A 27,945-nucleotide genomic window follows, 5' to 3' on the forward strand; every position below is an offset into this window, starting at 1 on the left:
ATTTATAGCACTAAATGTCCACAAGAGAAAGTGAGAAAGATCTAAAATTGACACTCTAACATCACAATTAAAAGAACTAGAGAAGCAAGAGCAAACAAATTCAAAAGCTAGCAGAAGACAAGAAATAACTAAGATCAGAGCAGAACTGAAAGAGATAGAAATGCCAAAAAACCCTTCAAAAAATCAATGAATCCAGAAGCTGGTTTTTTAAAAAGATGAACAAAATTGATAGACTGCTAGCCAGACTAATAAAGAAGAAACAAGAGAAGAATCAAATAGACACAACAAAAAATGATAAAGGGGATATCACCACTGATCCCACAGAAATACAAACTACCATCAGAGAATACTATAAACAACTCGACACAAATAAACTAGAAAATCTAGAAGAAATGGATAAACTCCTGGACACACACACCCTCTGGAGACTAAACTGGTAAGAAGTTGAATCCCTGAATAGACCAATAACAAGTTCTGAAATTGAGGCAGTAATTAATAGCCTACCAACCAAAAAAAAGACCAGGACCAGACAGATTCATGGCTGAATTCTACCAGAGGTACAAAGAGGAGCTGGTACTATTCTCTCTGAAATTATTCCAACCCTAACTCATTTTATGAGGCCAGCATCATCCTGATACCAAAACCTGGCAGAGACACAACAAAAAAAGAAAATTTCAGGCCAATATTACTGATGAACATTGATATGAAAATCCTCAATAAAATACTGGCAAACTGAATCTAGCAGCACATCAAAAAGCTTATCCACCACGATCAAGTCAGCTTCATCCCTGGGATGCAAGGCAGGTTCAACATATGCAAATCAATAAATGTAATCCATCACATAAACAGAACCAAATTACAAAAACCACATGATTATCTCAATTGATGCAGAAAAGGCCTTTGATAGAATTCAACACCATTTCATGCTTAAAGACTTTCAATAAAGTATGTATTGATGGTACGTATCTCAAAATAATAAGAGCTATTTATGACAAACCCACAGCCAATATCATACTGAATGGGCAAAAGCTGGAAGCATTCCGTTTGAAAACTGGCACAAGACAAGGATGCTCTCTCTCACCACTGCTATTCAACATAGTATTGGAAGTCCTGGCGAGGGCAATCAGGCAAGAGAAAGAAATAAAGCCTATTCAATTAGGAAAAGAGGAAGTCAAATTGTCTCTGTTTGCAGATGTCATGATTGTATATTTAGAAAACCCCATCGTCTCAGCCCAAAGTCTCCTTAAGCTGATAAGCAACTTCAGCAAAGTCTCAGGATACAAAACCAATGTGCAAAAATCACAAGCATTCCTATACACCAATAGTAGACAAACAGAGAGCCAAATCATAAGTGAACTCCCATTCTCAATTGCTACAAAGATAATAAAATACCTAGGAATACAATTTACAAGAGATGTGAAGGACTTCTTCAGGGAGAACTACAAACCACTGCTCAAGGAAATAAGAGAGGACAGAAACAAATGGAAAAACATTCCATGCTCATGGATAGGAAGAATCAATATCTTGAAAATGGCCACACTGCCCAAAGCAATTTATAGATTCAATGCTATCCCCATCAAGCTACCATTGACTTTCTTTACAGAATTAGAAAAAACTACTTTAAATTTCTTTTGGAACCAAAAAAGAGCACATATATGCAAGAAAATCCTAAGCAAAAAGAATAAAGCTGGAGGCATCATGCTACCTGACTTCAAACTATACTACAAGGATACAGTAACCAAAACAGCATGGTACTGGTACCAAAATAAATATATAAACCAATGGAACAGAACAGAGGCCTCAGAAATAATGCCACACATCTACAGCCCTCTCATCTTTGACAAACCTGACAAAAACCAGCAATGGGGAAACGATTCCCTATTTAATAAGTGGTGTTGGGAAAACTGGCTAGCCATATGCAGAAAACTGAAACTGGACACCTTCCTTACATCTTATACAAAAATTAACTCAAGATGGATTAAAGACTTAAATGTAAAACCTAAAACCATAAAAACTTTAGAAGAAAACCTAGGCAATACCCTTCAGGACATAGGCATGAGCAAAGACATCACGACTAAAACACCAAAAGCAATGACAACAAAAGCCAAAATTGATAGATAGGGTCTAATTAAAGAGCTTCTGCACAGCAGAAGAGACTATCATCAGAGTGAACAGGCAACCTACAGAATCGGAGACAATTTTGGCAATCTATCCATCTGACAAAGGGCTAATATCCAGAATTTATAAGGAACTTAAACAAACTTACAAAAAAAAATCAAAAAGTAGGCAAAAGATATGAACAGACAGTTCTCAAAAGAAGACATTTATGTGGCCAACAAACATATGAAAAAAATCTCATCATCACTGGTCATTAGATAAATGCAAATCAAAACCACAATGAGATACCATCTCATGCCAGTTAAAATGATGATCATTAAAAAACCAGGAAACAACAGATGCTGGAGAGGATGTGGAGAAATAGGAACACTTTTACACTGTTGGTGGGAGTGTAAATTAGTTCAACCATTGTGGAAGACAGTGTGGCAATTCCTCAAGGTTCTAGAAGTAGAAATACCATTTGACCCAGCAATCCCATTACTGGGTATATACCCTAAGGATTATAAATCATTCACTATAAAGACACATGCACACGTATGTTTATTGCGGCACTGTTCACAATAGCAAAGACTTGGAATCAACCCAAATGCCCATCAATGATAGACTGGATAAAGAAAATGTGGCACATATACATCATGGAATACTATGCAGCCATAAAAAGGATGAGTTCATGTCCTTTGCAGGGACATGGATGAAGCTGGGAACCATTATTCTCAGCAAACTAACACAGGAACAGAAAACCAAACACATCATGTTCTCACTCATAAGTGGGAGTTAAACAATGAGAACACATGGACACAGGAAGGGGAATATTACACACCAGTGCCTGTCGAGGGGTGGGGGGCTAGGGGAGGGACAGCATTAGGAGAAATACTTAATGTAGGTGACGGGTTGATGGGTGCAGCAAACCACTATGGCACGTGTATGTATGCCTATGTAACAAACCTGCACGTTCTGCACACGTATCTCAGAACCTAAAGTATAATTTAAAAAAAAAAAAAAGAAATCCTGTTGTAGGTGAAAGAAGCCTTGCAATCACCTTGATGATTAATCACTGCTAACATTACAGGAAGGGAATCCCGATCCAAACCCCAAGAGAGAGTTCTTGGATTTTGCACAAGAAAGAATCCAGGGTGAGTCCATAGAGTAAAGTGAAGTAAGTTTATTAGGAAAGTAAAGGGATAAAAGAATGACTACTCCATAGACAGAGCAGCCTTGAGGGCTGCTGGTTGCCCATTTTTATGGTCATTTCTTGATTATATACTAAACAAGGGGTGGATTATTCATGCCTCCCCTTTTTAGACCATACAGGGTAACTTCTCGATGTTGCCATGGCATTTGTAAACTGTCACGGTGCTGGTGGGAATGTAGATGTGAGGACGACCAGAGCTCACTCTCATTGCCATCTTAGTTTTGGTGGGAATTAGCTGGCTTCTTTACTGCAACCTGTTTTATCAGCAAACATGTATGCTGTATGACCTGTATCTTGTGCTGACTTCCTATCTCACCCTGAAACTTAGAACGCCTAACCATCTGGGAATGCAGCCCAGTAGGTTTCAGCCTCATTTTATCTGGCTCCTATTCAAGATGAAATTGATCTAGCTCAAACACCTCTGACAGTAAGTCCTCCTTAGTTTCACCTTGTTTTGTGGATCTTGGCACATGTTAAACCAGTTGGGAGACAGCATTAATGGAGTATCTGCTAAATGCCAGTCTCTGCCACAGAACGGGTGGGTTAAGGATTCATGTGAAATGATGGTGAGGGGATGTTGAGGGATCTATGGAAATGGCAAAGCATCAGAGAAACAAAGCACATGATTCCTGTCTTTAAATGAAAATCAGGCAATTACAAAATAGAGATTTTTATTTTGAGGAAAGCTATGTGGAAATGCATACAGTCCATACAGAAGATATGCATTTGAAAGAGTGGTTTGCTGTATGATATGGGATAATCTGCATGAGTCGACATTGGTCAGGGAAGACATCCCGAGAAGGTGAAGAAGTGGGGGAAGGGCATGTCCATCATGAGGGTGAGTTGTGTGGGCAGGCCAGAAGTGAGCATAAGGTGGTAACTGGTTATCAGTGAGGAGATGGGGATGGGGAAGTCTGGAGAATTTTCTCTTGAGAATGATTCTGAGTGGTGCTGAGTTATACTTCTGTTGCTGTTGTTCAACGTTAGCTGTAAGACAACACCTTTGATCTGCTTCTAATCATCTGTTTGGCTTGCTGGAGGTGTCTTCTAGAAGGAATGATAACCAACAGTTATCCAGCATTTACTACATGCCGCATGCTGCTTGAGTGCTGTGTGAGAGTCATCTATTTGATCTTCAGGGCAACACTGGGTGTTTTTAGGTGTTATTATCATCACTCCATTTTATAGATAAATAATGTGTCAGTCAGGATGAATTGGGCTATGTTACAAAACAAATAACTCTCAAATCTCAGTCATTTAAATTGTAAGTTCTACCACATGGGGTGGAAGAGGGGCCTCTCCTCACTGAAGTCATACAGGGATCAAGGCTGACAAAGAGCCCATCTTGAACTACGTTTCCTTGATCTCTGAGGAAGAAAAATGGAATCTCGTGCACTGGTTCTGAGAGTTTTCACTTGAAAGTGATGTGTGGCATTTCTGCTCACATTTTGTCAGACAAAACAAGTCATATGGCTATGCCTAACTTTAGAGGGAGCAAGGACAGAAAATTCTAGCATGTAACTAGGAGAGAAGAAGAGGACTATTTATGAATGGCTTTAATAACTAACTATAAGGAACTGTGGTGCAAAGAAGGCAGGGGACTTGACTTAAGTTTTCACAGCTATTGTGGTTCTATGGCCCTTTTCCCTACCAAACCTACATTTTGCTTTATATACAAACTATGTGTGGGGGAGTCAGAGGGGATGGCTGGGAGTAAGACTGTGATTAGGGATGAGATTCACTCCTTAACCTCTTGCTCTCTGTGTCTAGATTATGGTGACTGGAATAAAATCTTCGAGAAAATCATTTCATAGTATCTCTTTGGCCACATGGGTAAGGAGAGGAGAAAGAAATGGAAAGTGTAGAAGAACGCTGAAACTGTATTCCAACAGACTCAGTGTAGTTGTCAGAAATGCTGAGGATTTGTTGTCCTTTTAGGGGAGAGTTATCAGTGTTGGAAAACAGTCATTTAAAAATAACAGTGAATTTAGACACAGTTGACCTCCGTCCATCCTTAAGATGTTAAGATGATTCTGCTTGTTTACTGTTGTCATCTTGATGCCATGAAGTGATTTGGGCAATTGCTGGGTGTAGGATGGATAGAACCATTTATGGGAGTGAAGAGAGTCATCAAGGAAGGCTCTGAGGGGAACAGAGGGGGAGCAGGACCTCCAGAGAGAAGCAAACGCTTGGAGAAAAAGACTTGAGCCTATGACACAAGGGTGCATGTGTGTGTGTGTGTGTGTGTGTGAGAGAGAGAGAGAGGGAGAGAGAGAGAGAGAGAGAAAGAGAGAGAGAGAGGGAATATGAAATAAGTAGGCCCACCCACATTCAAATTTTCTATTCCAAGAAAATCAAATTTCTGGGTTATAGGATCAAAAATAAAAACATCATCTATAAAGAGACTGTTAAATCAGCTGGCTCAGCCAAGAATTCGAGGACTTTTGTGATCTTCCTCACCTTGTTGGGGTTGGCAGGCCCTTTCTCTGGAGCACATGGTGTCAGTCAGGCTTCAGCGGTGTGACTGGAGTTCAGGGGCCAGGGGAAGTCAATGTGGGGAATTTAATCCCCACCTCTACTTGCTGAGTGAGGCTCGGTTGGTTTTCTATGGGCTGAAACCCCTGGGTCCCCTGGCATCCAACATAACATCAAAAATAGCCCTTGCTTTTTAATTACCAAGGGTGAAGATCTATTATCTGCTCCAAGAATTGATAATCTGTTGTAATTGGGAACATAGAGTTGGTCTCTTTCAAATATGATATTAAAATATTTGGTGAGCAAAATGAAAAAAATTAAAATACAAAAGAACTGTTTGTTATACTACAGTCAGATTTTATCCACTTAATTTTTTATTTCTTGATATTATATACATATGGTCAGAATGATCACATTTCCACATACGTTTAAATAATATAATTTTTAGTTAATTTAAATTTAAGTTAAAGCTGTTAGTTTAATTAAGTTTAAAGTAATTATGTTTAACACAACAAATAATACAAGTATATATAATGAAAAGTAAAAATCCTCTTTCCATTCAATCCTAGTTCTCAGAGGTAATCACTGTTACTACCTTTCTGTGTTATTCTGAACTTTTCTTTCTATAAAATAAGTATATTTAAAAAAATTGATTTATCCATTTTGTTATTAATAGAATGGGTTGCTTTGAGACCAGACTCTAGTATTCTGGAAGCCTTGATGACCAGAAGCAAGGGACTCTATGCTTTCAAAGATTCAACAGTTTGCCATTTATCCAGAGGGAGCAGTGTTAGACTGCATTTTTGTTTTTTTGTTTTTAAAATATTCATTTTTTCTTTCTTTTTCAAATTTATTGTATCTTAAATTTAAAAAATAGATCTAGCAGGCACAAGTGCAGATTTCTTACATTCATAAATTGCCTAGTGGTGAAATCTGGGCTTTTAGTGAACCCATCACTCGAATAGTGAAAATTGTACCCAAAAGGTAATTTTTCAACCTTCACCCTCATCCCACTCGCCCACCCTTTGTAGTTTCCAATGTCTATTATTCCACTCTGTATGTGAATGTGTATTCATTGTTTAGCTAGAGAGAACATGCAGTATTTGACTTTCTGTTTTTGAGTTATTTCAATTAGAATAATGATCTCTAGTTCTATCCAGGTTGGGGCAAAAAAGCATGATTTTTATTCTTTTTTATGTCTGAGTAATATTACATGATATATAAATATCACATTTTCTTTGTCCAATCATCTAAATGTGTAAGTGCAGGTATCTTTTTGATCTGATTATTTTTTTCCCTTTGGATATTTACCCAGTAATGGGATTGGTAGATCAAATGGTTTTTCTATTTTTTAGTTTTTTGAGAAATCTCCATGCTATTTTCCAGAAAGGTTGTACTAAGTTACATTCTGACCAACAGTGTATAAGTGTGCCCTTTTCTCTGCATCCTTGCCAACATCTCTTGTTTTTTGACTTTTTAATTAATAACAGCCATTCTGACTGGTCTAAGATTTTATTTCGTGGTTTTAATTTGCATTTCTCTGATGATTAGTGATGTTGAGCATTTCTTCATATGTTTGTTGACTGCTTTCATGTTTTCTTTTGAAAAATGTTTATTTATGTCATTTGCCCACTTTTTAATGGAGTTATTTGTTTCTTTCCTGTGGAGTTGTTTGAGCTCCTTGTAGATTCTGGATATTAGCCCTTTGTTGGATGCATAGTTTGCAAATAGTTTATCTCATTTCGTAGGTTGTTTGTTTACTCTGTTGATTGTGTCTTTTGCTGTGGAGAGCTTTTTTTTTTTTTTTTTTTTGAGACGGAGTCTCGCTCTGTTGCCCAGGCTGGAGTGCAATGGCACAATCTCTGCTCACTGCAAGCTTCGCCTCCCGGGTTCATGCCAGTCTCCTGCCTCAGCCTCCCGAGTAGCTGGGACTGCAGACGCCCACCACCACACCCCACTAATTTTTTTTGTATTTTTAGTAGAGACGGGGTTTCACCGTGTTAGCCAGGATGGTCTCGATCTCCTGACCTCGTGATCTGCCCGCCTCGGCCTCCCGAAATGCTGGGATTACAGACGTGAGCCACCGTGCCCGGCCAGAGCTTTTTAGTTTAATTAAGTTTCATTTGTCTATTTTCGTCTTTGTTGCATTTGCTTTTGAAGACATGGTCATAAATTCTTTGCCTAGGCCAATGTCCAGAAGAGATTTTCCTAGGTTTTCTTCTAGAAGTTTTATAGTTTTGTGTCTTATATTTAAGTCTTTAATCCATCTAGGGTTTTTTTTTTTAATAGTGAAAGATATGGATCCAGTTTCATTCTTTTGCATATGGATATCCTATTTTCCTGGCATCATTTATTAAATATGGTGTCCTTTGTCCAGTGTAAATTTTTTTTTATATTACTGAAAATCAGTTGGGTATAGGCATATGGCTTTATTAGACTGCATTTTGGATTAGGAAGACATTTTCAGTAGCCCCTTTGGCTATATTCTGTCACGGAATGGGGAATTACCTTCAAAATCAGGTAAAGGGCTGTCACATCTTTCCAGAGAAGATGATCATGTTGACTGGGAGATGGAATGATTTCTTTCTATCTCTCAGGAATGTGAGGAGCCTTGTAGGGCAGAGGTGGGTTTGGGGATGGGAAAGAGACAGCGTGCTAGTGATTTTCTGGGGCCAGAAGACTATAAGGAGAGATGGCTGGGCAGGGAGCTGCTGGTGAGGGACACAGAATGGTATTCATTGAGTCTGGGGACAGTCTGCAGCCTGTGTAACCATGGGCAAGAAAGTATTCTCTCCATGCCTCAGTTTCCAAGTCTATTATATGAGGCTAATAGTAGTATTCACCCCCTAGGGCTATTGTGAGGAGTAATCTGTCTATGTGTCTATGTATGTATGTATGTATGTATGTATGTATGTATGTATGTATGCATGTATCTTTTATACTTAGAACAGTATGTTATACAAGTGTTTATTATTTATTATTACTCTTTTCTACTTTATAATTATGTTCTTTTATTCTCAGGCCTTCAGTACATCTTTATTAATCTGACTGCCTGGTTGCAGTTACATTTGAGAATAAGACTGAGATCAAATTCCACGTTTAGAGTGAGAAATGACTGCAGTTGAAGACTTGGTTGCAAGAGTCTAAGAAGACACCTCAGGGAGAGAGACAGGATCCAAAACAAGATTGCTGGCTGAGGTAAGAAGCTATAAACCAGGAAGGACTCATGGAACCTAGAGGTATTCTCCAGAGATTCCTCAGAAATACCTAGGGAGAGGAATCTGATGGAAGACTGAACTTCTTCAAACAGGAAGGAAATGGTTATTTAGCCATTAAAGGAAATGTGAGCCAGAATAAGTTTGGAGAATTTGGGAGCATGTGAATTATACACAATAATTGTATTTTTCTGCAACTTCCTGTTTTCCACTTAATTGTATATCGTGAAGTTATTTCCAGGTCAGTATATAAAGAACTATCTTATTTTTCAAGCAGCTGCATACTGTTTTTAAAGGTAACTTTGTTTATTTAACTGTCTCCTAATTGTAGATGGATGTTGGTTGCTAGCAATTTGTTGTTGTTATACATAAACAGTGCTGCAGTGAACTAACTCACATATAAATCTTTGTAAACATACTCTCATATTTCTGTAGGGTGAGTTTTTTCAAGTGGGATTGCTGAGTTCCAGATGTATGCATTTGAAACTTTAATAAATTCTATAAGAATATCCTCTAAAAAGTAAAATTTAAATTACTACATTTAAACTCCTAGCAACAGTATATGAAAATGTTCATTTCAAGGTGTCCTTAACAATGAATTCTATAAAATTTTTGCCAATATGATAGATGAAAATAACACTTCATTCTTTTCAACATACTTTTCTTTGATATTAGTGACACTAATAATCTTTTCACTGCATAATTAGCCATGTATATTTCTTTTTCTATGATATCTGTGCCTTGTTTGTTTATCTATTGGATTGTTTACTTACTTTCTAATGGTAGGGATTTTTCATATTTTATGAATGTTAAATTATTAAATTTAGTTTGTTATATGTGTTAAAATACTTTCTCCTAGTTTTTTTTGTCATTTGGCTTTGCTTATGGAGTCTTTCAACACAAACACATTTTAAATATTTATGAAGTTGAACATCAACCATTGACTTTATAACTAGTGAGTTTGGGTAATTATTTAAAAGCCTTTCTTACTTCAAGAATGTAAAATCGTCTCATATATTTTCTTGTAAAATATAACATTTAAAAGTGTTTAAATCTTAACTGGAGCCCTCTTACAAATTTGATTTGAAGCAGAGTATAATATTCTATTTTTCTGAAATTATTAGCCAACTTTCCCAATATTAAACAATCTACAGTTTCCCTCTAACTTGAAATGCCACTTTTATGAAATACTACATTCCTATATTTTTGTCTAATGATGCATCTATTTTGTTCACTAAATTGTTTATTCTAATGCAGCTATTTATATTAGTTTTGTGGTACCTTTATAGTATCTTTTGATTTGTGGTAAACTAAGCACTCTCTCATTCTTCTTTGTAAGAAAAAAAGTGTATTGCCAGTATTTATTAATTTTTTCAGAAGAACTGTAGAAGAAACATAATAGCTACCTTCTCATAAAAATGTTTTATATTTTTTGTTGGAATTGTACATAGAATTCATCTATTAATATGGAAAAAATTGGCATATTAATCCTTCATCAATAGCAACATACTATGTCTCTCCATTAACTTAGGTCTTTTATATTTACTTCACTAATGTTTTATGGTTTTCTTTATATTTCTAGGTCTTACACATAACTCTTTTTATTTTTGTTCTTAGAATTTCACAGCTTTTGTTGATACTATGAATCAGATTTTTCATTAATTCTTTTAATTGCTTATTATTGAACATGAAAAAGTAATCTTTGTATTGAAATCTTGAGTCTGATCATGTTTCTATTTTAAATTCATAAAGAATTCTAGTAGAAGAGGAATTCAAAGAATGTTATAAATGGATGTTTCTCTAGGGATGAAGGAACTATTTTATTCACAGGCTGATAATTCAACCTAAGCTAGTTTGGCATCATGCAGATAAATAGTTGAATTATGGGTTTAAAATACATATTCTTTTCTAACTACAAAGGTAATGCTTATTAATTTAGATGGTTTTGAAAATACAGAAAGGCAAAAACTTTTTTTAAAAAACTGTTATTCTCTACCGCTACTCAATCTATCATCTATCTCTCCATTCATTCATCCCTTTGTTTATATCTGTTAATCTTTGTATGTGTTCATGTATAACTTTTACATGATTGGAATCATAATACATATTCCATTTTAAAATCTCCTTTTTTACACAAAAATACATTGTGAATATTTTTCTATATTATTAAATATCATTAGCTGAACTTTTAGAATTGACTGCATGTTTTGGTACCATTTAGACATAGTTTAAGATACTCAGAAGTTATGTGGCTTTGCCACTATGGATGAATCTTCTTTACTCAATATTAATTACTTTAAAATAACCTCACCTAAGTACTTCTCAGCCATAAAAAGGAATGAATTAATGACATTCATAGCAACTTGGAGACTATTATTCTAAGGGAAGTAACTCAGGAATGGAAAACCAAACATTGTATGTTCTCACTCATAAGTGGGAGATAAGCTATGAAGATGCAAAGGCATAAGAAGGATACAATGGACTTTGGGGACTCAGGCGAAAGGGTGGGAGGGGTGAGGGATAAAAGAATACAAACTGGATTCAGTGTATACTGCTCAGGTGCACCAAAATCTCACAAATCACCACTAAAGTTCTTACTCATGTAATAAAATACCACTTGTTCCCCAAAAACCTATGGAAATAAAAAATTAAAAAAAAATAACCTCACCTAAAATGGACTTCTGTTTTCGGGAATATGAAATAGATATACTCTTCCCAGATCGCACCACTGCACTCCAGCCTGGGTGACAGAGCGAGACTCCATCTCCAAAAGCAAAACAAAACAAAACAAAACAAAAACCCTGAACAAAATATGTAACACAAACAAAAGAAGACTCTAAAGGTCAAGAGAAGAAGGCAGAACTAGGGAACTTGGAACCCAAGAAACAACACTGTGGAAAGTTCCCTGGGTTTTCTTTTGGCCTCACGTATCTGAGACTTGAAACTAACAAAGCCAGCAACCTGGAAATGCCAATAGGAGCAGACAAAAATGTCCCTTCCAAAAGCCTACTTTCTCTAGCCAAAGGCCAGCCAATAGGCAGCCTAGCAAGATAGAAAACTTTGACAATAACTGCTGTACTCCAGCCAATGCTACAGAAAAATACAGCGGCTCCAACCTCACTCCCACCAGCAAAGGCCAAGTGGGGAGCATAGATTTGCTCCCTTCAGAGGGATAGTGAAGTGTTGTATGCCACCTCCACTGGGGTGATGTCAGAAAAATCTGAGCAGGGAGCTGGGAGTTTCATCCACACTGAGTATTCCCTCTGCCTCCTTTTTCCTCTACTTTTGATGTCAGTGGAGACTACATGGGGATTCTAGACTTCCACCCACAGCCACTGGTGCAGTAGTGTCAGAAAAAGCTTAGTGGAGAGTCAGGACTTTTACCACCACTTGTGGCCACCCTGCTCCCTTGGTATTAGAGGAGCTCAGGTGGGGAGAAGCAGCTCCTACCTCTGTCCAGCGGTAACAAGTGGCATCCCCCACCCCAATGTGGCAATGGAAGCTAAGTGACAACCTGGACTTTTACCTTCATTGGCTAGGAATGAGGTGGCACCCTACTTTCCCTGCCAGGACTGTGTCAGAAGAAAACAGCTAAAACAGAAGGTTTAAATAACATCTTGAGTCTTTTAATACCCAAACTGTCCATGTTTCAAATGAAAATCACTTCTTAAACCAAGAACCAGGAAGATCTGAAACTGAATGAAGATAGACAATCAATAGTTGCCAACACTAAGCTGATAGAGATATTAGAATGATCAAGAATTTTATAGCAGCTGTCCTAAGATGCCTCAACAAGCAATTAAAAACATTACAGAATATACTAAAATTACAAATTGTAAAAACAGAAAACTTTAATAAATAGAAAGTCTCAAGAAAGAAAGAGAAAATATAAAGAATAATTCAATGAGAAATTTTGGAACTGAAAAATATAACAATCAATATAAGAAACACAATGGACAGGCTAAAGAGCAGTATGGAGGGAACAGAGAAAAGAATCAGGTAACTGGAAGACAGAACAACAGATATTACTCAATTAGAACAATGTAGAGAAAATAATAACTGAAAAAAAAGGACAGAGCCTTAGGGACCTGGGAGAATATAATAGAAGATATAATGTGTAATCAGAGACCTAGAAAGAGAGAAGAAAGAGATAGGACTAAAGAAGCACTTTAAGAAATAATGACTGAAAATGTTCCCAATTTGGCAGAAGATGTAAACCTACAAATTTGAGAAGCTGGGTAAACTCCAAGGAAGATAAATCCAAAGACATCCATATGAAGACACAATAGAGTCAAACTTGAAATCTAAAGACAATTTTAAAAAGCTTCAAAGTGCTTAGTGACAGAAAAATAACACCTTACTTGCAGGGCAAAAAATAATTTGAATGACAACATATTTCTCACCAGGAACTATAGATCCCAGAAGGAAGTGGTGCAACATTTTTCAAGTGCTGAAAGAAAATAACTGTTAACCTAGAATTCCTATACTTAGTCAAAGTATCCTTCAGGAATCAATGGGAAATCAAAGCCTTCTCAGATGAAGAAAAACTAAGAATCTGTCACCAGCAGATCTGCTTTAAAAGAACAGCTGAAGGAAGCTCTCTACATGGAAAAGAAATGCCGAAAGAAGAACCCTTAGAACATCAGGAAGAAAGAACATGGTCAGTAAAAATACGGATACAATATAACTGACTTCCCTTCTCTTAAGTTTAATTAAAAAAAAAAAACACATGAAATAAACAAACCAAAGACACTTAACATGAAACAATATTTTGAAGCAACTATCATATACAGATAAATGTGGACAGCATTTTTTCTCCATTAAAAATACATAGTTAATGGAATGTGTACTTACCATGTAACTCAAAATGAGAATTTGGCCTTCAAAATAACTATTAGAGAGGAAATTAATCCTAAAAAGATATGGTTAGAAACCATTCTGAAATTTTGTCAAAAGTTTCTTCCTTTCCTGTCTGCTTACTTGCATAATGTATGATGAAGGGATTGGACTTGATTGTCTCAAAGGTCTGTTCAGTTGAGCTCATGGCACTCTTGAATTTTTTTGGCTAAATTTCTGAAAGATCCACAAAATTGCAAAACCTTTAAAAATACTTTATTGTACATAAAATCACATCTTTGATGAATGAGGTGGTTTACTTTATGAAAGAATTTTAAAGAGGTTAAGGAATGATGTTTTCCTGTACTTTCTGTGCTGGGTTCTCTTCCTCCTTCCTTTTTAAGAGTGAGAATGAAGAAATTTAATTTAGATTAAGCATTGAAACAAACAAAAAGCATTGAAGCAAATAAGAAATTAGTCAATATTATAGGAACACTTATTACCTTTTTTTTTTCTGTTCTTCTCTTTTACCCCTTCTTCCTCTTCCTTCCCCTCTTTATTCCCTTTCCTTTTGGAAGCATTTGAGAGTAAGTTGCAATAACTATTACCCTTCTCCATAATTACTTCATTATGCATATCCAAAGAACAAGGGTAGTCTCCTAAATAACAACAATATAGTGACCAGATTCAGAAAGATTAACATTGATGCAATACTATATAAAAAAAATCCAAATTCAAAGTTATTTTCTTTAAACAAATAAAATGTCTATTTTAACAGAATAGGTTAAAAGGAAGGGAGGTCCCATTGCATTTTTATAACCCTTATTCCTTTGCCTCTTTCTTTCAAGTATCCTTCTCAGGGACTGGCATCTGAATGATTTCCCACCCCTACTGGCCCATCCTCTTTCCTGTCAACACTTGTGAGTCTTTCCCGTGTTCCTTCAGGACTCAGCTATGTACTGACAGCCAGTCTTCCTAGCCCGATGTCCATGGATGATGACGATGGCTCCCTATGATCTCACTTTCCCAGGGGCATCGGCAGTTTTTTCAACTACTTTCAGAAATGTGGGCAGTTTATACAGAGCTTCAGAAGCCAGAGGAAGTATTTTGAAGAAAGGGGACAATTGGTATCTCCTTACCTTACTGTAGCAAGTTTCTACCTATCCATAAGCAAATATGAACAATTTAAAGTTCATAAGCAAATGAAAACAATTAAAGTTTAGGGGTAGGAAATGATTCAGGTGCCAGTCTCTGAGAAAGATATTTAAAAGAAAGAGGGAAAGAAATGAGTGTTAAACATTCTATGGGACCTCCCTTCCTTTAAACTTATTTTGCTAAAATAGACAGTTTATTTCTTTAAAGAAAATAACTTTGAATCTGGGTATTTTAGTTAGTATTACAATTGGTATTTTCTTACCTTATTGTAGCAGGTTTCTACCTATCCATAAGCAAATATGAGTAATTTAAAGTTTTCTGGAATTCAGTGTTTTTTGCCATATTTGAGAAGCCAGTGTTTTCAATAGGTCTATAATATTCTGCTGTGGAAAAAAAGCAAAGAAAAGCAAGATACTGAATAATGTTTATAGAATGAGCTCATTACCAAACATAAAGACAGTTTTTCTCTACATCAACATATGCTTGTATGAGTATGAGGGAAAGAACAGAAGGATACACACCAAATTACTAACATGGGTTACCTTAGGAAGGTGGGCTTAGCTTTCTCTTCATGTATTGCTATATTTTTTTACTTACACAAAACATGTATCCTTTTTGTAATTAAAATAAAAATAATACAGTTTTTGAGAAGCAAAATACTCAGAAAGCATATAAAACTTCTGATTTAACACAAAACTCCCAACTACCAAGAAGAGAAAGAAGGCCATTGATAGTATCATGGAACATATTATATGGTACATAGGGGTTAATTGCTTAGTGATGAATGAATGACACAGGATTATCCATGATGAAATATAAGATCATCTTTTATATAAATCTGTTTCTCCTGGGTAAATTTTCTGGGTAGTCTTCATGCTAAGACAAATTTTGCTGAACTCAGGAGAGAAGCAAATTGGGAAGGAAGTAAGATTTCATTTTGGAGAAATAAAACTTGAAAAGGTTATATTCAAGAAGGGAAATGAGGTTTTCTAGTTGGATCCTAGGAAAGGCATTAGCACGTGCATTCTGACTTTTAAAATTCCTTGCCTCAAGTGTCTTCTGGGTCTTATGATTTCTGGACTTAGTACATTCACCTTCTAGGAACATTCTTTTTTCTCTTAAGACACTCTGAATGCCAGACTGTGTCCAGTGACGTATCATCTTAAGTGGTTGAAAGACAAAATATTTAAATTGCCATACATTTTGTCTGCCTCTTCATAGAAATGATGCAAATCAGTTTCATATTTCCAGTGAATTCTTTGACTCTTGTGGTCTCACATAGGGCCTATGAAAAACACAGCTTTTCCCCAAAGAAGACCTTCATCACTTGAATTTTATTAGCCTCCCCAAAGGCCTAGTTTCTGTCTAGTGTCCAGTCTTGGAAGCATCTGCTTTAAATTTCCTTTAAACAACTGTTATATGGAAATGACTTCCTTTCTTCTCTCTCCACTCCTCATCCTAAACTGAGCTGCCCGTCTACTTCTCACTGTAACAATCTTTGATGTCAGCTTATTTGTGGACCTCGCACACAGGAATGGGACAAGTCACCAGCTCAGAAGTCTCAGGACCAGCGACATCAAGAGCAGGAAGTGGCCAGTGCCTCAACTTCACTCCCCTCTCCCTCCTGGAACAGGCCCTCCATCACCGTAGATAATTCATGTCACTGAATGGAACATGTAAGCCATCTCACTTCTTTTTGTCTTCACAAATGCTTTAAACACAGGCTTGGAAAATCTGTGGGCTTCTCACACGTTCTCAGATATATTCCTTTGCACCTAACTGGAGTGAAATGATATGGTGCTCAGTGGAAGGAATCTGGTTGTGCCAGCAGAGGTTGGGGCTATGGAACCATGTAACTGGAAGCAAGCAGTGAAAGAAACCTGGAAACTCCTGTCACCCTGTGCCTCAGTGCAGGCTGGCTCAGCAGCATCAACTTAATGTTCTGTGTGGGATGCTAGCACATTTGTGTTTGGAGCCTGGTAATTAGATTGTGAGCAGGAGGCAAAATCCCAGCAATCTGGTGGCATGGACAAATCTTGGTGTCAGAAGGCATGGTGTGTTGAGGCTTAACAATCTCAGCTCTATTTTTGTCTATCACCCCTTTGATACATGTCAAAAAAAATCCCACCCACTAGTTCTCTTTCTCCTCTCCCCATCAAGATCAAGCACCATAGACAAATTAAATAATAACAATAATAGAACAGGAAAATAATACACCGATGATCAGACATCAAAATGAAATGCAGACCCTTAGAACAACTTTGCTTCGTGTACTTTTAATACATTTTATATGCCACACGGCAATTTACTGAGAGGTGGATTTTAACATACCACATATGCTATTGGCAAGATAAGAATTACTGAGTTGAATGTTGGTTCACTAAATATGCTGAAACCCTTTTACAGTGTAGACTCTGAGGAACAGCTAACACTCTCTTTATGGGCACATTGAAATGAATTGTGCTTTTACTGTATGTCATTGTTATGTTTCAGGGGACATGATTTCACCAGTAGCTTTGCCAAATTTTTGCAATAACATGATTCCACTGTATTTCTATTTTAGTACCACGATCTCATGCCTTGAAGTTTATTTGAAAAAAGAAAACAACATAAAAAAGAGTGAAGTTCAGCCAAATCCAGGTTATTCAGGATTTAAGTTATAATCCAGCATGAAGATTATCCTAAACTTTTGCTTCTCTTCCTCACCTTTAGTATTTTTCATCTTAAGTGGATGTTCCTGCTCAGTAGCATATTTCCCAGAAAGAATCAATGGGATTTAATTAATTTCTTGTGTGAAATGCTGCAGAGATACTTTTTGAGGGAGGGAGAGAGAGAGAGAATGAGAATGTATGTAGAGAGAGAGAGAAGAGAGAAATGGTTGGAAGCTTTTGGTAATATTTTCTGATATGTATAAACTTAAATTACCTAGAATTCATGAGCACTTCTGCTTGCTATCCATGTAGAAGAGATCATTAAGAGATTGCTGTATTTTATCCATAATGTACTTTTCTAACCTAAATTATTAGGAATAGGAATACCCCATCTGCATGCTATGAATAACACCATGTGTGGAGAATCTGCACAGATCCTGAGATAATTGTAGGGATGAAGCTGTCTAAGGAGAAATCCCAGGCCTTAGGAGAGTGTGAACCTTGTGGAAAGATGAACAAAAGGGGAAGAGCCCTATTTTGAATCAAGGAAATCTTAACTCATGAGAATAAAATTAGTGTGAGGAGCCAAATCCTGAACAATCTTTAGTTTCCTTATTTTCTCTCTGATGACACTGTAACTGTCTAACTAAAAAGGAGAGAATCAAGTTAAGGAGCAAAGTATTTGGTCAACCCTTTAAACTATTTGTCGACATCATTTTATAGGTCAGCATACTTGTTTGAATTTTCCATTTGTCTTTAGAATATCTACCTGGAGAGAAGTCGATATTTAACTAGAAGAGATGGACGCTGTTGGGCTAATACAAAAAGTTAAAAATTCAACCCATGAAACATTGGTTTTTATTTCATTAGCAATTTTGGTTTCATTTTTTTTACCCAAATTAGGCTGAAAAATGAAATCAAAATTGCTGGTGAAATGAAGCCATTTTATACAAATAGCACTTTGCATCCTCAAAAAGAGAGATTCCACAGAATGTTCTTGTACAAACACCTGTAGTTTGGGTCCATGTGGAATCTCTCTTTTTCAGGACACAAAGTGGTATTTGTATAAGAACATTCTGATTCTGGATCCACTAGCTGCAAGAAGACCTGATTGAACCAGTGCCTCCCGCTGTGGGTGAAAATCAGCCTGGCCTCTCCTGGGACACAGAGGGGACCAAACTGTCAGTCACTAGAATGATTTGTTCTCACTTTCCAGCTGGCTGGTTTGGTGCTGTTGTTGATGCTGCCACAGTCATTGTAGTGTAGGGTAGGTAACAGACTAGCCTTCCAAGCACCTAGCTTTCCACCTCCTTGCTGAGACTTTGGCTTGGTCTCCTAGAAATGGCTCCTTTTAACCCAATAAACAGGGAAGTGGGTGGGGGGATAGCTGTTTAAAAAGAGCACATTTTAATGGAAAAATGAGGTATTTTCCATTGTGGTAATGTGTCTTTTTTTTTCAATCATAAAATTGCTCAAAAGAGGAAGCAAAAAGAGGAACATGTATTCATTTGTTTCAACTTGAATTTGTGAAATGAGTTCTTAAGAAAGCTAGCAGGCATCTATTTCGAAGAATTATGACTCCTTTTCGACATGTAAATATCGTATCATTTCCACAGTATAATTATCTCCCATGATGATCTAAATTTATATGACTGTAGATTCCAAACGCAGTTATTGTGGAGTTTCAACAAGACCACATATGAGAAAGAAAGAGAGAAAATATCTGCATGTGTCAGTGTTCAAATGACACCATCAGAGACTGTTGAGAGTAAGACAAGACCTCTCCTTTGTGACCAGTTAACTGATACTAGACAAGTATTGTTCTAGCAGGTAAAATGACTCGAAGATATCTTCAAACTTTATATTTTTTAATAACCCCCATAATACAGAATTACCTATGGATGTACATGTTGGAGTACATTCACGTGAAAGTATAGAATCAGACATTATTCAGGCAGACTTTCCCTGTTCCAAATACTCCTTAATTGAGGAACTACCTTGACTACTAATTTTAAATCACAATAGTTCCATGCAGAAGGGAGAGCTAAGTTTTGGGTTACAAAATTTTGAAAACCACCATATAGAACCCACCTAAAATATCCAACCACCAACTTGCCACTGGCGATGGCTGAGAAAGCAGAAGGGAGGCAGATGTGGTTGTTGCCCAGTTGGAAATGATGATACTAATAAGACTTTAAGTGAAGTAAGCAGAAGGAGTTTGGGGCATTTGTTATGCTCTCCTTGAAGCTCTGTTCTGAGTCCTCCCAGACCTGGCTGGAGATTGATTTTCCTTCTGTGCTAGATATCCTACGTGAAAATAACCATGGCAGTATTAATAATAGCACTGTAGCAGCTGTTTGGAAAGTGAGCACCTTCCATACCTTAACTTTCTATTTTGCCTGGTAGATTGCACTCTTTTCCTTTTCACTAGCAGATAGTTCTCTGAGTACGAATCTAAAGAGAGGAGAGCCAAGGCTATCTATATTGCCTATGGTAAGACAGCATAGTGAGACATTTCCTTAAAAATCTGGGAATGACTGCAAATGGCATTGGGAATACAATCATGAGTTGGTTGCCCCTGATGGTAGTTCTTCAGGTTCATGCATAGGAAGCTCCAAGGGAAGGTTGACTCATTAGATGCACCAAAGGTTGGCTTACTCTAAAAATGAACATGTCATGAGCATGCACACAGGGTTAATAACATATATTGAGCTTTTCCTATATGCTAGATTCTTTTTTACCTTCTTATTAAATCCAAACAACAACGTCCCAGTGAAGATGTTGTTATCAACAAGAATATAAGCAGAATGAGTAGCAATTTGGGTTCACTTGTATACAATAAACACTTGGCACATTTGCTTTTCAAATGATTTAATAAATGTTAACCTTATGGATGAAGAAACAGAGTTTTGCAGAGATTGAATACTCTGCCAAATTCCCCCAGCCAGATAACGCCAGAACAGGGAAACAGGCCTGACGCTATGGGGAGATTTTGTTCCCTGCCAGAGGTTCAGCATACCCAAATCCCCTCCCTTGTGTGGGCCCTGGTTGGAGTTGGACACAAGAAAAATTTGCATGAGATATGGAAGGTAGAAGTGAAGCAGCAGCTGTTATGCTCAGAGGATGGACATATGGATGCCAGGCACCATGACAGTGTCAACTTACACGTCATCACTTATCTGCTGGTTCACCTCGTTGGTGTGGGGCAATGGCTGGGTCCACAGCTTCTCTAGTTTTCAGCAGATCTCTTCCTTTCAGTTCTTTGAGTCCTGAGCCATGGCAGGAACCTTGTGCAGCTTCACGGCAAAGGACACCAGTCTCTTCTGCAAGTTATCTATATTGTTGAGGTTGGAGGCCATGAGATACAGATGTGGGTTTTAGTTTGTCTTGTCTCTCTGTTCATGTCCAGCTTGTCTTCCTGATTGCCAGCCTTCTTGACCTCTAGTGACTTCAAGGCTACTGCCAGATGCAAAGGCAACAGCCTCCCATAGGCTTCTTTATAAGTTCCCACAATGCTGTCGAGTCTAACCTCTTCAGTAAACCATTTATTTCATATCACTTGTGGTGGCTGTGCTTCCATGATCAAACTTTAGCTGTTATGGTTTGTCAGACTCCAAATTTCCAGGATACTGCACTCACTGGGAGACTATGAGGGTGAAGGCACGAGCAGGTTTCAGTGGGACTGGAATCCTCTGGCTTTAGGAAACTGAGTACTTCCTTAATCAGATGCTCAGAGAACAAAGCAAGGGGATATACATGAGCAAAACAGAAAATTGAGAAGTCATATCAATGTTTCATTTAGCTTATGAGATTACAGAGCTAGTAATTTCATGGCCAATTATATGTTTAAGATAGGCCAAAAATAAGTTGAAAAAATATTTCAGTGGCCGTTTGTGGACAATATAAAAATGACATTTTTCTGATTTCTCAATCAGTGCTTTTCAGTATCTTAGTCACAGCCTACATTTACATGCCAAACATCTGCATGGAAAGTGAAAATATGCTGTTATAACCTAGATGAAACATCTGGAAGATGATATTTTTCTACTTTTTATTCATTTGGTGTCACATAGATCTAGGCATCAACACATATCTCTTTTCCCTTAACTTTAAAAAAACATGATTTTATTTTTCAGTGCACTTTTTCTGGAAAACAATTTTGCAAGGTGCAAGGTATTCAGATGAAGTGCTGAAATCTTGGCTGTAGGAAAAGTTAAGCATAACCAACCAACACTTACTTCAACCCCAACTGCAACACTTCTGAGACTTACCCTTTGCCATTTAGCACGTTCCTTTTGCTGTCTGCTTGCACACTATGTACCCTGGGACTTTCCTGGTTTTCTCTGCCTTCTGCTTTTGGGGTAATATTGGTTTAACCAATATTAAACCAAGAAGTACAACATTAGAAAGACCCAATTTTCTTACATGAAAGCAAGAAGTTTATTCAACTCATTGCTTCACTTTATTTCTAGGGGCCTTTTCTAGGTCCAGAAAGAAGTTGTCCTTAGCCCTAGACTTTCTGTACCTCTACCCACCCTCCCTTCAGTATGTATGTACGTTGTCTGTCTTGAGTGAGATAATATGCCCATGCAGATACGCTCTTCTTTGTTTTCTAAGCATTAGGGTTGCTGATACACAACAATATTTTTTCTTGGTAGAAGTATGTTCCATGCAATATTTGGGATATATTTTATGCACAATTACTTGCTGTTTAGCTAAAATTCAAATTTAACTGGGCATCCTGTATTTTATTTGCTAAATCTGTCAACCATAGTGTAGATACTTCTCGCATCCCCAATCTCCCAAAGCTCCCATTTTCTAAATCCTGCACACTGACAAGACTTTCAACAGTAAGTTAACTTCTGGACAGCTTGCCAGACTCTCCTTGAGGAATGTGTTTGCCTTCTAGCATTTGGATGAATAATTTAGTTCTGCCACTAAAACAAAACATGAATGGGCATTTGATGTAAACATTATTTTCCTCACTGCTTTGGCTGAAGAGCTGAAGAGTTAGAAAGGTCCTACCGGCAACATCCACCTTTCTGAAATGCACTGCTTGCTCACAGACTTAAGGTGTAGCTTGAGCTGTTTCTGGGTTACACAGCTTTTCTTCTATTTCCGTTTTTTTCTTCTTCAAAGTTTCTAGTCTTCTTTTCTTACAGAAGTATGACCTCTCTTCAAGTCTCAACCAGGACCAACATTTGTGCCATCCAGATTTTGCGACCCAGAAATGGCCATCTGACCAGTCCATGGAAGGCCTTCCTAGACTGGAGTGTGTATTCTTATGACCCAGATCACATAATACTGACAGAGAGGTATTTGGCAGTAACATGGGTAATAATGGTAAGGAAGGGTATATGGACTACGATTTATAAAGGCTTTTTGAAATTAGCTTGAAAATAACACTTACTGGGATTTCCCACATTTTAAAACTAACATGCTTATTGTAGAAAAACATGCAAAACATACAAAAGCTAAAAGCAAACATAACAAAACAATCACTCACAAATTCACATCTTGAGATATTCACTGTTGTTATTTTTGGTGTATATTTATAATATTTTTCTATAAATTTATTTGTTGTTTCAAAAAAGTACCATATAACACAGAAATACACAGCAACTTTTTTTTGTGATTTAGCAATGGATTTTGAACATTTTTTTCTGTGCAGAGTACATGTGTATGTCAATAATTCTCAATATTTTTTGGGTTGCAGATCTTATTTAAGAAAGTAAAGCTGCTTCTTTCACGAAAACAACTATACAGGTACCTAGAGGATTTGGGTACAATTTCAGATCATTAAAATACATCTGTAGATCCTAAAGATAAAGAAGTCCTGTTCTAAAGTATCACAACTAATTTGAATGACTGACATGGGATATTTTGAGGCTTCCAGTAAGAATTTATTTTATATAAGCTAAATAGGCAATTAGACATTTGCTACATTGGGACCTCATATTATAAGATTTTGCTTTTTTTTTTTCTTGGAATTCAGGTTTTTAGGGTAGTGGTCCCCAACTTTTTTGGCAGCAGGGACTGGTTCATGGAAGACAATTTTTCTGCTGAGCAGGGGTGGGAGGTGGGCAGGGTTGGGTGATGGTTTCGGGATGAAACTGTTTCACCTCAGATCATCAGGCATTAGATTCTCATAAGGAGCACACAACCTAGATCCTTTGCATATGCAGTTCACAGTGGCATTTCTGCTTCTTTGAGAATTTAATGCTGCTGCTGATCTGACAGGAGGTGGAGCTCAGGTGGTAATGCTCACTTCCCCGCCATTCACCTGCTGCTGTGCAACCCTGTTCCTAATAGGCCACAGACCAGTACATGTCCACAGCCCAGGGGCATGGCAAGAGGAGACATTAGCAAATATGCAGATTGTCCTGTTTACATGTCAGCTCTGAAGACTGTTGAGTTGATGGGTCTTCCCTTGGTTGCAAGCCAACAGCAGTCAGAAGCAAGAAACCTTGTCTAGATTTCACAATAACCTTGTCACAAGTCTCACGTTTCCTGTAGGAAAGCTGAATTTACCAGCACACTCACTGTGAGTAAAACTGTAACTCTGCTCTGAGCAGAAGGCTTGTGCTGAGGATAAAAACAAATTCTCAGTGGAAATACAAAATTGATCTATTAATTCCTGGATGCTAAAGACAATGATTTTTTCCTGTCTGGTGGCTGTTTTTCTTTTGTATGTAACTTTCAGTTTATTTCCGTAGTTAGGAAAGAGATAAAGCAACTTGAGAAAGCATAGGAAGGTGTAGTCCCCTGAAATCTAAATGAAGCCTGTTTGGTCTTGCAGTTTCCTGTGCAGGTCTGGCCTGGGGCAGGACTATATGGGCATCTGCAGCCCACACAATGTAGGAAAAAGACTGGTAGAATATTATCATTAACTAAAGTAACTATAGATGTTCATTACTGAGCACTTATTGTACAATGGCCATTGGGCTAGGTGCTCTACCTAAATTACATTAAATTCTCACCACTCTAAAAAGTAGGTATCATTTTTCTTTTATGTGGAAGGGGCTGTGCCACTGAATGGGTAAGAGCACAGACTCTGGCTTTCCACAATCTCGATTCATACATATTGGCCTTGTGACCTTGAGAAAGTTACTTAGTCTCCTTGTGCGGCATTTCTTTCATCTGTAAAATGGGGCTAAAACACAAATTTGAATCCAGGTCAGAGTTTCTTTTTTAAATTTATTTTTTAATAAAAAATTTTAATGAGATGTAATTCACATATATTAAAATTTGCCCATTTAAAGTGTACAATACCATGTTTTTATTTTTCATTTTTAAATTTTAATTTTTATTCTTCCAACCTTTTTTTTTTTTTTTTTTTTCTGAGACAAGGTCTCACTCTGTTACCCAGGCTGGAGTGCACTGGGGCGATCTCGGCTTACTGCAACCTCGGCTCACTGCAACCTCTGCCTCCCGGGCTCAAGTGATTCTCTTGCTTCAGCCTTCTAAGTAGCTGGAATTAACAGGCATGTGCCACCACGCCTGGCTAATTTTTTGTATTTTTAGTAGAGACAGAGTTTCACGATGTTGGCCAGGCTGGTCTTGAGCTCCTGGCCTCAAGTGATCTGGCCACCTTTGCCTCCCAAAGTGCTGGAATTATGGGCGTGAGACACTGCGCCTGGCCTTTCCCACCTTCCACCCTCAAGTGGGCCCCAGTGTCTATTGCTCCCCTCTATGTGTCCATCTGTACTCAATGTTTAGCTCCCACTTATGTGGTCAGTGTTTAGCTCCCACTTTAGAACATGCGGTATTTGGTTGTCTGTTCCTGAATCAATTTGTTTAGGATAATGTCAGCCAGGGTTTCTACCCAGGAAAGCCTACTGCCTGATTCAGTCCTTAGCTAAATTGTAAAGATCCCTTTGATTCCTCCCTCCAGCCCTCCTTTCTCACTACAGCACCCTCTCTCCCTATCTCCACTAACAAGATCTTTCCTTCCCTCTCCTTCTTCTCTTCATAACTTCGCTTGCAACTTCCGGTTTCCAGGCTACAGAATGCCAGCTTTCACAAGTGTGAGGACTGCTATGAAAGAGAGGCACATGCATAGCAAGGGCATTTTTAGACCTCCAAAGCCTCAGGAACACAGGAAGTAATTCTCTAATAAATAGATATCTGGAATTGTAACTGGTTGAAGGAAATACTTGGTGCCAAATTCCTATTTAGTGCTCCTCAAAACACACGATGATGGAAAGTGGCCTCCTCCTTTTTCTAAATTAATTGGGCTTTGATATGGGTCTGGAAGAAACTCATGAGCTGCAGTCTTTCATTCAGGAACTTAATAACTTTTGGCCATAGTTGGAATGACTTGTCATGTTTGGGTCCAGCCAATAGGGAACACAGGTCACATCTTTCCCTGCATAAGCCCACAGCCACCCATGCTGTGGGTAGCTGTCCCTTTCCTTTCCCTTCATAAAGTGGATAGGAGGCGAATAAGGCTGAATAGTAATTATAAACATCTGGTGGTTACTTTATGATTAGGTCATGTTAAAGATTTTGGGAAGCCTTCCATCAGTCTCAGTTAATATCTTTCCAATTATGTTTACATTGACATTTACCCTGGGCCCTGTAACTTCTCATTATGCCTTCTGGAGTTATCCCATACGCTCTGGGCGTGGTGAGAAGTTCACCAGGGAGGCAAGGATTACTGCTGCTACTGCTTGATCAAGGGGAAAGGCAGCCAGCAGTTCCAAGGAGCCAGGAAGGGACTGCCCAGACATGAAGAAAGATAATGTGGTTACTATTTTGTCATATACTTTGGCTTTATTTTACCTGAAAGTTCAATGACCAAGATACTAGAAAAAGTCTTCATAGCACTGAGGGGCTGTTTCTGAATTAGAGACACAACTGATAGTTGGAAGCCTGTTGTTTGTGAGAAAGAATTGTTTGACTAGCAACACACCTAGCCTCTCTGCATTAATCTCCCAAATGAAATTCAGAACAGGTATTGGAAGCCTAGACATGAAATGAAAGAAAAATGTATGAACTAAGTACACTGATTGCATTCATTCAGCAGGTGTTTTCTTGTTGTCTGAGCAACTTCTATATATTTAGCTCACTGCATAACAAGGTGCAGATACAGTGGTATATAAGACATTGTCAGCTGGGCACGGTGGCTCAGGCCTGTAATCCCAGCACTTTGGGAGGCCGAGGTGGGCAGATCACTTGAGGTCAGGAGTTCAAGACCAGCCTGACCGACACGGTAAAACCCCATCTCTACTAAAAAAAAAAAATACATAAACAAAGCCGGGCGTGGTGGCATATGCCAGTAATCCCACCTACTTGGGAGGCTGAGGCAGGAGAATCAGTTAAACCCGGGAGGCAGAGGTTTCAGTGAGCCGAGATGGTGCCACTGCACTCCAGCCTGGGCAACAGAGTGAGACTCCGTCTCAAAAAAAAAAAAAAAAGACATTGTCTCCTTTCTCTAAAGCCATATGGTTTAGTTGGGTGGTAAGGTAGATGATAAAATATTTACATAAAATTATAAGTATAGAAAATGAAGCATATACTCTAAGTAATACACAAAAATGTCTCCTGATAAGCCTTTTATTTTGTGTTTGGTGTAATTTTTTAAAGTGACATGTTCATGTTTTTGAATAAATTTTACTTACGTCTTTGTGTTTTTATGTACTTTCCAGTGGAAAATTATTAAAAATGTTTTCCCAGCAAATCAACACAATTTAATAGTAAATAGCAATATTAGCAGCATTCCATCTAGTGCAAAATAGGTCTTTCAAGCACAGTGGCCAATGACCGTGGAGAAGTCTCCCAGGAAGGTTCTGGAACAGGTTCTTACAGGAAGGGCAGCCGAGAACATCAATGATTAAAAGGGGGCTGAGAAGAGGAAACTGATGGACAAAGGTAGGTTTGAGATCTAAGTGCTGCTCTCAAATGACCACCAGCAACACCCATGGCTCTTCTGTTTGTTTCTTTTTCTTTACTCCTCTTTCTTTTTTTTCAATGATTGTACTCAAAACTATTGTTTTTTAGAGGTGAGAAGTGGGAGAAAGAACGAAAATCTGGAGGTTGGAGGATAAACAAACCCACATCCTTGTGGATGAAGAAGGATACCAAAAACTCATTTTCCTGGAAGGAGCAATTTTTGAAATCAGCTACACTGAGGTAAATCTTGTGAAACTAGAACCACCCTGGTAGAAAAGCTGGCCTCTGAGGAGTAAGGGTCACCATCGTGTTCAGGTTTGTCAGGGCTCTGCCTCTTTGCTTCTTTCTAAATTTGGTGTTCTTGAGATTTGATGATAAACATCAAACCTTTGGAGTTTGAATAATAATT

The 27,945-nt window shown here is 37.8% G+C and overlaps 1 long non-coding RNA gene across 3 annotated transcripts in view, besides 1 other annotated feature; it reads left to right on the top strand.

Annotated features, from left to right (window-relative positions):
• The window catches only part of LOC101929750 (uncharacterized), a 60,750-nt gene that overhangs the window by 3,322 nt on the left and 29,483 nt on the right, over nt 1-27,945 (top strand). For all 3 annotated transcript variants that reach the window (XR_001738477.2, XR_001738478.2, XR_001738479.2), the window contains exons 2-4: nt 8,807-8,983; nt 16,524-16,667; nt 27,645-27,776. This is a non-coding gene — a long non-coding RNA (uncharacterized LOC101929750). The remainder of the gene's footprint in view (nt 1-8,806; nt 8,984-16,523; nt 16,668-27,644; nt 27,777-27,945) is intronic.
• Nucleotides 18,709-18,758: a silencer, noted in NCBI's record as "silent region_1828". NCBI's record gives its function as "represses an Ori minimal core promoter by ATAC-STARR-seq in GM12878 lymphoblastoid cells {active_cell/tissue: GM12878}" and the evidence as "EXISTENCE:reporter gene assay evidence [ECO:0000049][PMID:35858748]".

Source organism: Homo sapiens, chromosome 1, assembly GCF_000001405.40.
Source record: "Homo sapiens chromosome 1, GRCh38.p14 Primary Assembly".
NCBI lineage: Eukaryota > Metazoa > Chordata > Mammalia > Primates > Hominidae > Homo > Homo sapiens.